Here is a 12,545-nt window from a genome sequence, read left to right as displayed (position 1 = left end):
GCTCATCTGCCCCAGCTGCCCACCTGCAGGGCAGTGCTGGCCCTTCTTGGAGGTGACTCTAGAAGCTTCCTGGAGAGAACTCATACTCCCCAGGGCTAGCTGGCCTTTAGCCCGTGGTCTTCCAGGTCAGATGCTTCTTTGCTCAATTATGCCCATTTCTGAACCAGCAAACAAATCCTAAGTAGTTACAGAAATGCTCAAAACCTCTGATGAACGAAGTTTCCCCTCAATATTTTTATCCAATAGACCCAATGATTACCTCTGAGGTTAATAGAAAAATAGGGGCATAGGAAGTGGAAAGTAACATAAGCAGCAGCAGGAATAGGGTGCAGAATTATTTCTCATTTGCATTTGTTTGTCTCTTGTGGCTCTTCTGTTTTTCACTGTGTTTGGATCTCTGGGAATAAATTTTTCAAATTGCATGTTAATTACTGCATTTGTGGCTTCCGTAGTATCAGACACTTTCAGGAAATATTACAGTTATAATTTCTAGATTAATAAAACTGAAGACAAAATTGACCCAGTAGACATAATTTAGTGTACTTTTCGGAAAGCTTCTGATAAGGCCCCTCCTAAAAGGCTATTAAGGAAAATAAACAACCATAAGGTAGAAAGCAAAGTCCTGTAAATTACAGCATCCGAAGGAACTGAACCAAGTGAAGAGAGTCATAGCGCCTGCTTGTATTTTGTTGTTTACCTAAAATATGTGGGCAATTGGTAGTGAAGATTTAAAAAGAAAAAATACCCTTTGAGTTTTCATCAAGTTTGATTGGCTTTGAAATTGTCGGGCCCTGTAGAGAAATAAACATAGCAAAGGCTTTGAGGACCGCTCAGCCCAAAAAGGTGCAGCTGTATGTGAAGTGTGGATGACGCTTGAGGGATAGGGCCAGTGAGAAAATACACACACACACACACACACACACACACACACACTCACCTGTGCACACACATGGTGAAGATGCCCCAGTCTGGGCTCGGAGGTTTGATTTTTTTGGATTTTTTGTAAAGCTCTAAATAAAATCCCTCAGGAAAATAGTACAGTTAAGGAAAAGATGAGCACATGCACAGAAAAAAAAGAGAACACCAGGCCCAGAAATAGATAAGGCAGCCCTAGGACCTGGGAGCTCCCTGCTTGTTCTCACCCCTGTGGGTGCAGGGATCAGGGCTGAGGCTGAGTCTCCAGAACAATGCAGGAGGAAGACCAGCTCCCCTTAGCATGTCTACATTGTAGGGTCGTTTATAATGATCTCCATGCAGATTTTTTGGACAGTGTGCTTTTCACTGAAATAGCAAAGATCTTGGTAAAGGAACTCTTACTGTCTATCTGTGTTTTTTGAATTCTGTCCTGAAAGCACAGCCTGGCCACCAGTTGACTCCATGGGGCACCTGGGTCAGGAGGTGACCACACCGCTCAGTTGGACTAATCCCCTTTCCTCACCCCATGGTGGATGCAGACCCAGCACTCGTGCAGGCAGGCTACAGGGGAGGAAGAGGAAGCCTGGGCTGAACTGTTAGGCACAGATCCATCAACCATGGGGCTGTGACCGGGAACCCACCAGAACTCACCATCTTGTTTTTTTCACCTATAAATGGAAGTTCTTGTCAACGTATATCTCACAGGAATCATAGGAAAAAGCTTAACTAATCCTTTCATATAATGATGTAGAAGCAGTTTTTAAAGTCAGACTATTAGATTAAAGTGATATGTCAGTGTGGTCAATGCAGAAAAAGGCCATTCTACATAAAATTCTTAATTTAATAGTGATAATGCCTAACATGTGCTGTGCACCGGGTACAACTCATGTGCGATGCATATCTGATCCTCACAGAGACTTTCACAAAACCCCACTGGACACACAAGGATACTGAGGCACAGAGAGGCTGAGGAATGGGCCAAGCCCATGGAGCTGACTAGCAGAGCAAGGATCTTAACCGCAACAGCCAGATTCTGGAGCCCATCGGCTCATCCTCCATCCTCCTATATTTATGCAATTTCATACAATATGGTGTGTACATAGCCGTGCCATAGGAGCTAACATGATTGAAGCACCTACTTGTACTTAGTACAAACCCCTTGGCGCGCACTGCATCTTTTTTTTTTTTTTTTTTTTTGAGACAGAGTTTTGCTCTTGTTGCCCAGGCTGGAGTGCAGTGGTGGGATCTCAGCCCACTGCAACCTCCGCCTCCAGGGTTCAAGCAATTCTCCTGCCTCAGCCTCCTGAGTAGCTGGGATTACAGGCACCTGCCACCATGCCCGGCTCATTTTTTGCATTTTTAGTAGACATGGGGTTTCGCCATGTTGGGCAGGCTGGTCTCAAACTCCTGACCTCAGGTGATCTGCCCGCCTCAGCCTCCCAAGGTGCTGGGATTACAGGTGTGAGCCACTGAGCCCAGCTGCATCTTTTAGTCATCATCCAACTCAGTGAAGTCAATGCAATCACCATCCTCACTGAAAACAATGCAGCATCCGTATAGATAGTTCTGGTCCAAGACGTTTCTTTTCCTTAGGTAGGTCAACCATTGCCCTCTGCAGATACCCAGAGACTGCTTCCTTTCCCTTGTGCGGCCACAGAACCCAGTGGTGGGTTTTGCCTTCTCTGAAGTCCAAAGAGCTGATCCAAGTAGCTCACTGCTCAGGACACTGGCCCAGGCTTTTTCAAGGTGACATCCAGACCCAGGGTGAGCACAAGAGGAAGCTGGTCCAATGACGAGGGATCCATCACACTGGGGACCATCCTCACCATCGGAGAGTTTCTAACTCATCTTTGTCAACCTGTGTTTATTTTGTTTTCAGAAGAGTGTTAGCTGGGGCCCTGAGCACACCATTGAGTGATTGAGTGACTTGGAGGGTTCTGAAATTCTAACTTTATGTTCGTGCACATGAAAGTTGTACATATATCTATATGTTGCTAATCGTCCATAAAATTTAATTTTGCAGAGCCACCCTCTCCTTACACATTTTGGGTTTTCTGTGAATAAGCCTGCCATTCGAATCTAGTGAAATAACATGAATGCCCTTAGCCAACCCCTGAGTCGAATTGTACAGGCCTTGGTACAGGTAAACCTCTCAAAGAGAGCTGTCCTCTTCAGTCTTCTCACTCATCTTCCCTCCTATCAATCTAAAGCATGAATCGGCCAGCCCCAGTGGCTCACGTCTGTAATCCCAGCACTTTGGGAGGCTGAGGCCAGAAGATCATTGAAGCCCAGGAGTTTCGATCCAGGCAGTTCAAAGGGGAACAAATTGAGACTCCCTCTCTCTTTCTCTCTCTCTCTCTCTCCATATGTGTGTATATATACATATATATATACACACACACACATATGTGTATATATATACACATATGTACATATATATATATAAAATCAGCCAGGAGTGGTTGCATGCACTTGTAGTCCCAGTTACTTGGGAGGCTGAGGCAGGAGGATTGCTTGAGTCTGGGAGGTTGAGGCTGCAGTGAGCTGTGATCACACCACTGCACTCCAGCCTGGGTGACAGAGTGAGACTCTGTCTCAAAATAAATAAATACATACATAAGTAAATAAATAAATAAGCATGAATATCTCACATGGCCTCATGTTCATGACTGAGATTATTAAATACTAAAGTGACTTGGTTGCTTGAAAGCTGCAGATTCTCACTAATTCTGCCACTAATGAAGTGAATAAGCCTGAGGGCATCATCCTGGGCCAATGCAGTTGGCTGTCCTTGTCCCACATGGAGGCCAACAGGTATTCCCATGCTCTTGCTCTCTCTGTGATGGGCCATCTTCACCACAGGACAAAATCATGGAGTTAGAAAGTATGCCTCACTCTGTCCCATCCTGTCACTTGCTAGGTGAAGGGTACCTGGCCCAGCAGTGTGCAGAAGGCTCAGGGCATCCTGCTCAGGTCTCCAGGTCTCCCTCTCAGGCACTGTGTCCAGCTCACATCATCAGGGGGTTTGATCGGAGCCCAGGTGTGCGCTTGTGTTGCCTGATGGAAAAATTTTGCTACGAATGTCTCCCTGTTTATACCTCAAGAACGTTGCTTCTTTAGTGAGCTATAAGCATAATGCGCTTTAGGCTGTGTCTAAATAATGTATTTATCCAACCAAAAAGCAAAAACTCAGATGGTTTGTGCCATATTTTTGTATATTTAGAAACAGCTGGTTGATTGACTGGATTTTTAATTTTTCACAGGAATGTTTGATGTCGGGGAGACTGCGCCTTTAAAATCCTCTGAGGAAAGAAGATTTCTATAAAAGTTTTCTCCCATAAATATTTTATGTTTCACTGAATTACTATGAACAGAAATTCCGTGATGGAAGAGAAGTGCCTTCTCTGCCCCCACACCAACCAAAGGCCCATTTCCAAACTCATGGCCATGCTCTGCCACCTGGGAAACTGGCCACCGAAGCCCCTCTTCAGGATTTAGTTGCCTTCAAACCCTTCTATCACATTTTAGAATTACTCTTCCGATTGATTTGTGCTATCTGGCTGCTGTAATTTTGAATAAACAAGCCCGAATATTTGGTTAAAATGCCTAAGTCACCTGAGTTGCAAAAAATACAGCCAGACTGATTTCATGACTTGTGCATAAGACACCCAATATATATTCATTAGGTATATATTCTATCAATATTAAATATGTATTAATTTTAATATACTAAAATATTAACATATAATTACTGTATGTTGTGTAGTAATAAAACATTGATATAAATGAATGTATAATTAAGAATATAAAATATATTGAATTGAATGATATCCCTCAAGGCTAATATATATGGGTAAGTAAAATGATCTGATTCAAAGAGCTACAAGACCCTGGATGGAAAGAGGAGCTAATATTTACTGAATATGAAGTAGGTGCTAGGTGTGGTGCCGGTTGCTTGCTAAATGATCTCATTCAATCTTCACAGAAACTCAGGGGGTAGAGCCTACTTTCTCCAGCTTACAGATAGGAAGCCTCAAGGTTCAGATAAGTGAGGGAACTCGCTCAGGGCTGCACAGCTAGTAGCCAGAGCAGCTTGAAAGTCAATCTAGGCCAGTCTGGTTCCACAGGCCGTGGCTTCACCCCTTTTTGCTCCCTTGAAACTGCTCCCTTATAGGGTTCCCGTAGTCATCCCGACTCTGCCTGGAAAATTCTACCACTGTGTGCACTCAGCAAGATTAGAAAGCAGAACTCCAAACGTCCGTGATGAACATGCACCCATGTGGCCCGCGGTGGGACAGGTGGGGTAGGAATCTTTCTGCCTCTTTTACCCGAGTGTGGAGGAACATATCAGATGGGCTGACTATGCCCTTGCGTGCCTGCTAAGGCCCAGCAGGTTTGACATGATAGGACCCTCACCTCCCACCTTAACTGAAAAGCACTGACTTAGGGGCCAGGAGACCCAGGATAGCCACAGAGAAGGAGGAGTGAAAACCCGAAACATTCAGGGGTTGGCATTTTTTCTGGTTCACAGCAATGCTTGATGCCACTTCCCCTCTCTTATCAGAAGCAGGCTGCTCCCCACACAGGGAGGTGGGCGAATGAGGTCGCTCTCCTCTGAGATGTTATTGTGGCCATGGAGAGGAAAGAGAATAAAGGAAGGACAAACCTTGTGCTGCAGGAAAAGTCAGGTTCTTGTCACACAACCGAGAAAGATCAGGCTCGCGGACACCTAGAAGGGTGAGGAGCAGAATTTATTGGGCAAAAAGGAAAAAGGAAAAACAATTCAGCAAAGTGAGATGGAGTCCTGCTAACAGGCTCTGCACCTCACAGACTGAATCCCAGGTCCCCAACCAGGAACAGGAGAGGCCAGGCTCCTCCCCACTGCAAATTGTGCAAACTTCTCGTGGCTCCACCCTGTCCTCCCAGTGCGCACGCTGGTCAGAGATTCTCTGGGGAGCCCTTTTTACTTGGCTATCTCGCTTGGGACCTGAGAGTCCCGTGACGGTCAACCACAGTAAGACACCAAAGGTTAAACCTTGAGGTCGCGAGCTGCAGGGTGAGGGAGGAAAGGCACTGCTGTGCGCTGCCTGCCTGTCATCCAGGCAGGCTACCCAGGTTCAATTTGTTCCTTGCCCTTTGGGTTCTGATAAGCCAGTGAGTGAAAAAAAAAACTTACAAGAAAAGATTATTTAAAAATAGATTTGCTATATATCAGAAACAGCTGTTAATTAGGCATGTTGAACTTCTTCCTCATGCCAGACTTTATAATGTTTATGAAAGTTGTAAACTGATTCAAGTTAACAAGCGTTTGCCTGGCACTTGCCATGTGCCTTCTTGAACGATGCCAGGTAGGAACATGAAGAACAGTTACCTGACAATTTAACTATGATGGTGCCCCTTCCACTGTGGGTCTCAGGGTTGGACATTCTGTGTCATCTTAAAGAGGTGGCCCTTATCAGAGGGGAAGAGTACGCTTTGGAGGTGCTGGCCAGCTCCGGGACCTTGGCTGAGTTACTCAGTTCCTCTGACCTTTGGTTTTCCCATTTGTAAGGTATATAAATACTATTGAGACAGCCAGGTAGGAGGGGCTCCGTGGCAGAACCTGCAACCGACCTGCACACTGGGAGGAATGCACACCAGGGTGGAGCATGGGGAACTTCCCCATTTGCAGCTGGGAGGAGCCTGGCCCCTCCTCTTCCTGGGTGGAACCTGGCATTCAATCTGCGAGGTGGGAAGCCGCACTAGCAGGACCTTGGCTTTGCAGAGAGTCCCTGTTTCCCTTTTTTCTTTTCTGCTCTGTAAATTCCATTATTCTCACCCTTCAAAGTGTCTGTGAGCCTAGTATTTCATGGCCATGTGTCAAGGACCCGGCTCTTAGCTGAACTAAGGAGAAAATCCTACAATACTATCTCTTTTTTTGTGAGTACATTTGAAGATTAAATCGCATCACGGAAAACATTCAGTAGCACAGCCTCTGGCTCCTAGTAGGTTCTCATTGTTATTACAGCTAAGGAGGTGGGCCTTCTACATGGAGTTCCACTCATGCGTGCAGAGCAAGGCCTCAACACATTTGTGAGAGGCTAGGTTTAGCTTATTTTCAAAAGCATCATCAAGATTTGCTGAAAGGTTACAAGTAGGACAGCTGGAAACAAACATTTTAGGTCTTTGCAGTATGGATGCAAAAAGGGTTTCCCCTCTTTTCAGTGGTATGATTTGGGAAGCACTGACTAAAGTGTTTGGATCGAAGAAAGGGAGGGTGGTGGTGAAGGAGAAAAGAGGGAGGCCTGTTAGCCAAGATTTGCAGGTGTTAAATACAAACCCCAAATTGGTTACTGTGACTCTCCTGAGAGTGGGGAAGGAAGTGGGTGGGTGGATGGGTGGGGTAGGAGTGGCAAAATCAGGCCTGAAACCAAGGACTCCATATGATGCATCTTAACAGATACTCCCTCAATTTCCTTCCTTCTCGTGGGGGTGGGATTTACATAAGCATTTTCTTGAGTCCAGATAACAAAACCATGCCTTGAAAGACATTTCACTTTTTCTGCCCATAATCAAGGCTGGTACCTTCCAAGATTCAGAGATCCTCGATCAACAACAACAGAAAATGTCCTCACCATGTTCTGAAAGCCTTCCAAAGCATGGCAGAATGAAGAACGAGGAGATGGCAAACTCTACCACCAGCCTGAGGTCCCAGCTGCCCTTCTATCCAGAAATGTTTTCATCTCACCACACAGAGCTTCACATGCACCCTTTTCAAAACCCACACTAGCTTCTCGATTTCTTGCACAACAGAAACTAATATGTTAGACCTTCGTAATAAACGTTAACCCTTTAAAGAGTATCTAATGTTTGCCCCACAAGAACCTGTAAAAATATGTCCATTTCGCACACACAGAACAAGGCTGCCTACAGAAAGAGCGAGGTGTGTGTTTTTCAGATGAAAGATGTCTTTCTAAAGTGCAGCATTGTTACTACAGGCGCATTATATCTGAAATGGATGCACTCTTGAAAGATAATGAATGATAGCACTTCCTTATTGTTGGTACCCACCCATCACTCTTCTTAAAAGCACGTGCTGTATAGCATTTGCAGTGTTCCTACAAAAGAAAAATTTTAGATGATTTAAATAGCTAACTGCTCCTAATTGTTATTCAGAATAAAAGGTTGCACTTCTTAAGTGTTCCCCGCTTTTAACACTGTTTTTAGTACCTCCATTTAAAGCCTGAAAATAAAATGCTTTTGCATGTGAAAGGGTTGCTGTAAGTTCATGGACCATGGACGCATCCATCCTTGTGGCTGGGCGTGGGCTCTGGAGCTCTTGAACAGCTTGCACTACTCTCCTCGGAATGCACCTGGGACTAGGAAAGGCCTTATGAGCTGGCATGCTTCACCGCTCTCTTGAGGTCACAAATGAATAAGATTTTCTGCTCAAACTTTAGAAATGTAAAGTTTTTTTGGCAGGTAGAACCATTCCATCCATGTGTCTCTTGCTCTGGGCTGGGGACAATCAGCAATTCCACATCTAAAATCACCCCACACTGGTAGACGCCAGGGTAAGTTTAAAGTCCTCTTGGAAGAAAGTTTCCAGAGATCCTGCACTATTCCATGGTTCTTCCTTTAAGCCTTATCTACGCAACTGAAGTAATGTCTTGATCAAACGATGGAGATGCATTCTAAGACATGTGTCGTTATGTCAGAGGCATGTAAACCAGAACAACTCCATCTTGAGTAGGGGCTGGGTAAAATGAGGCTGAAACCTACTGGGCTGCATTCCCAGGTGGTTGAGGTGTTTTAAGTCACAGGATGAGATAGAAGGTTGGCACAAGATACAGGTCATAAAGACCTTGCTGATAAAACAAATTGCAGTAAAGAAGCCGGCTAAAACCCACCAAAACCAAGATGGTGATGAGAGTGACCTCTGGTTGTCCTCTCTGCTACACTCCCACCAGTGCCGTGACTGTTTACAAATGCCATGGCAACGTCAGGAAGTCACCCTATATGGTCTAAAAAGGGAAGACACAGATAATCCATGCCTTGTTTAGCATATTATCAAGAAACAACCAAAAAAATGGGCAACCAGCAGCCCTCGGGGCTGCTCTGTCTATGGAGTAGCCTTTTTTTTCCTTTGCTTTCTTTTTTTAAAATTTTTTAAATTTTTTTATTTTTTATTTTTTGGGACAGTTTCACTCTTGTCACCCAGTCTGGAGTGCAATAGCGTGATCTCAGCTCACCGCAACCTCTGCCTTCCAGGTTCAAGTGATTCTCCTGCCTCAGCCTCCAGAGTACCTGGGATTACAGGCATGCACCATCACACCCAGCTAATTTTGTATTTTTTAGTAGAAATGGGGTTTCACCATGTTGGCCAGGCTGGTCTCGAACTCCAGACCTCAGGTGATCCACCTACCTCAGCCTCTAAAAGTCCTGGGATTACAGGTGTGAGCCACCACGCCTGGCCTGTTCCTTTACTTTCTTCATAAACTTGCTTTCACTTTACGAACTTGCCCTGAATTCTTTCTTGTGCGAGATCCAAGAACTCTCTCGGGGTCTGGATTGGGACCCCTTTCCTGTAACAGTTATGTGATTTTCTTGTTGTGCAAACATCACAGAATGGACTTACACAAACCTGCATGGTATAGCCTGTTACACACGTAGGCTCTATGGAATGGCCTATTGCTCCTAGGCTGCAGACCTGTACAACATGTCACTGTACTGAATACTGTAGGCAATAGCAACAAAAGAGTTTACCTACGTATATCCAAACACAGAAAAAGTACCATAAATATATACTATCATCTTATACAATCACCACTGTATTTGTGGCCTGACATTGACCAAAATGTTGTTACGCATCACATGACTGTGTTACTGGAAAGGGGTCCCGATCCAGACCCCAAGAGAGGGTTCTTGGACATCGTGCAAGAAAGAATTCAGGGTGAGTCCTTAGAGTAAAGTGAAAGCAAGTCTATTAAGAAAGTAAAGGAACAGGCCAGGCACGGTGGCTCACGCCTATAATCCCAGCACTTTGGGAGGCTGAGGCGGGTGGATCATCTGAGGTCAGGAGTTCGAGACCAGCTTGGCCAACATGGTGAAACCCCGTCTCAACTAAAAATACAAAAATTAGCCGGGCGTGATTGCAGGCACCTGTAATCCCAGCTACTCTGGGGGCCAGGCAGGAGAATCACTTGAACCTGGGAGGCAGAGGTTTCAGTGAGCCGAGATTACGCCATCACACTCCAGCCTGGGGGACAACAGCGAGACTTTGTCTCAAAAAAAAAAAGAAAGAAAGGAAAGAATGGCTATTTCATGGGCAGAGAAGCTGAGGGCTGCTGGTTGCCCATTTTTGTGGTTATTACTTGATTATATGCTAAACAAGGGGTGGATCATTCATGAGTTTTCCTGGAGAGGGGTGAGCAATTCCCAGAACTAAGGGTTCCTTCCCTTTTTACACCATATAGGGTAACTTCCTTGGGTTGCCATGGCATTTGTAAATTGTCATGGTGCTGGTGGGAGTGCCTTTTAGCATATGAATGCATTATAATTAGCATATAGCGGGCAGTGAGGAGGACCAGAGGTCACTTTCATCGCCTTCTTGGTTTTGGCAGGTTTGGGCTGGCTTCTTTACTGCATCATTTTATGAGCAAGGTCTTTGTGACTTGTACCTCGTGCTGATCTCCTATTTCATCGTGTGACCTAGAATGTCTAACCTTCTGGGAATGCAGCAATGCAGGTCTCAGCCTTACTTTACCCAGCCTCTATTCAAGATGGAGTCACCCTGGTTCAAACGCCTCTGACAACTGTTTATACCATTAGTAGCAGGAAGGAAAGTCAGCAGACTTTCTTCAGTCATATAAACTGTGGTGTTCACAAAAAAATGCTTGGATTGATTGCACAGCTGAGAGTATTCTACTGTTTAGATCATTGGACAGACATTTTTTTCAGTAACACAGAGTTTAACCTAAAATCCTTATGCTTAATGTTTAAGTCAATTTCCCCCTTCTTACCCTGGTTAAGGATGGATGATCACATTTTTTTGTCACAGACTGGGTTGTGTGTCCTACATTTTGTGTAAGAATGCTGCCCTCCTGCTCCTTGCCCGTCCCACCAAACAGGTCTCAGTGCACACTAAGTGTGTGAGGAGCCGTATCAGACACCTTTAAGTGGCTCTGTTTTCAGTGACCCCACACTTCCACATTCCTTATGAAATAACCTCTCCTTCTCTCCTTATTTGTCGCTTGGAGCACCTAGGTTTTCCAAAACAGAAGTCCCTCCCCAATAAGACGATCACTAAGACGTCCAACCTGCAAGCCTAACTCATCCCACAATGGGGCTTGGTGCTTCTGCCACAATACAAGACTACATGGCTGACTGCTGTTGGCCCTTCTGAGTTAGAGAAGAGTCCTTGTAAGTTTACAACACCACACCCTTTGTTGGTTTTTACAGGGCTAGAGGGTTTTGCCTAATTCAGCTGAGACATGGGTGCCCTGCAATTATCCCTGTTAGCTGCAGTGCCAGATGTGTTGAAGTGGAGTGGTGTGTTCTGGCTTCCTCAGAAAACCAGCTTCCAGGTTTCTTCTTGAGTTGGCTTGAGGCTCACAGAGAAGCTTTTCTTAAATTGATATACAGCCATTAGTTGGATGCCTGGGGAGATCACAGTGGTCCCCTGCGGTGTCGATGTGAGCCCAGCCTTCTTAGAGAATCAGTGCAGGGCTGAGGGAAGGGCTCCTCTGCCAGTAGCTCCAGTTCCACAAATTCTCATCCTACACTTGACCAGACATCCTCTGCTGCTGGGTGCATCTAACCTCTAGTATTACCCTGTGTTTGTTCTGAAAGACTTCTTTTGATACCACCCCCAGACAAATGTGTTTTGAATTTCACCACTACTCCAAAGTAATTCTGAATTCTAATCACATTCTATCTGGTAGAGTCACACTCTTCCGTGTCACCCCTTCCATAGTCCACTCTACAGATCATGCCAGATTGTTGTCATCTCTAACTTAATGAGCATGGTCTCTATTCTCATCAGTCCCCACAGGTAAGAGCAATTCTACCTCATCTGCAGCAATTTGAAAGGGACCACTGGGAACTCACCTAGGGAAGTGAGAGTTGCAGAAACATTCTTTTTCCCGTCTTCCTCCCATTTCCTGCCCTTTCCTAGTTCTGTCCTTGAGCTACTGGCAAGCTCAGCCATTCTGAGAAGGGATCTCTCTCTGAACCAGCCTCCCCACTATCCCAAGCACATGCTGTCTTCCTACCAGTGAAGGAGCCTTTTACAAGCATCCCCTCACTCCTACCCTCTATAGCCTCCCAGCATTCAGAACCATAATGATATTTATTCTGGATGTTTGCAACTTCAGAACACAATATGCTGATTTTCTGACATTAAACACACCAGCGGCTACGGAAGAGTGCTAGAAATATGTTTTCCCCTCTGTACTGGGAGTCGGGAATTGCACTTGTTAGAGTCTCCCAGGTGCTAAAAGAAGAGAAATGGGATGAGAATGGTGAGCTGGACAGAGTCCAAAGCTGCTGTGTAATCTCTCTGACTCTTCCTTGGGCAGCTCCTCCATGTATGATAGCACATTGTGCACAGAGCTCCCACAGAGGAAAGACCTGCTGGTTTCAGCCCTGTC

The 12,545-nt window shown here is 45.2% G+C and overlaps 1 protein-coding gene across 4 annotated transcripts in view; it reads right to left on the bottom strand.

Moving 5' to 3' along the window:
• The window catches only part of POU3F3 (POU class 3 homeobox 3), a 74,498-nt gene that overhangs the window by 31,778 nt on the left and 30,175 nt on the right, over positions 1–12,545 (bottom strand). The window contains exon 3 of one of the 4 annotated variants that reach the window (NR_197434.1): positions 5,582–5,644. The exons of the other annotated variants lie outside the window; for them this stretch is intronic. The gene's annotated coding sequence lies outside the window, so the exon portion shown is untranslated. The remainder of the gene's footprint in view (positions 1–5,581; positions 5,645–12,545) is intronic. 4 annotated transcript variants of the gene reach the window in all.

This window comes from Homo sapiens, chromosome 2, assembly GCF_000001405.40.
Source record: "Homo sapiens chromosome 2, GRCh38.p14 Primary Assembly".
Taxonomy (NCBI): domain Eukaryota; kingdom Metazoa; phylum Chordata; class Mammalia; order Primates; family Hominidae; genus Homo; species Homo sapiens.
This window is presented reverse-complemented; position numbering and strand designations above follow the sequence as displayed.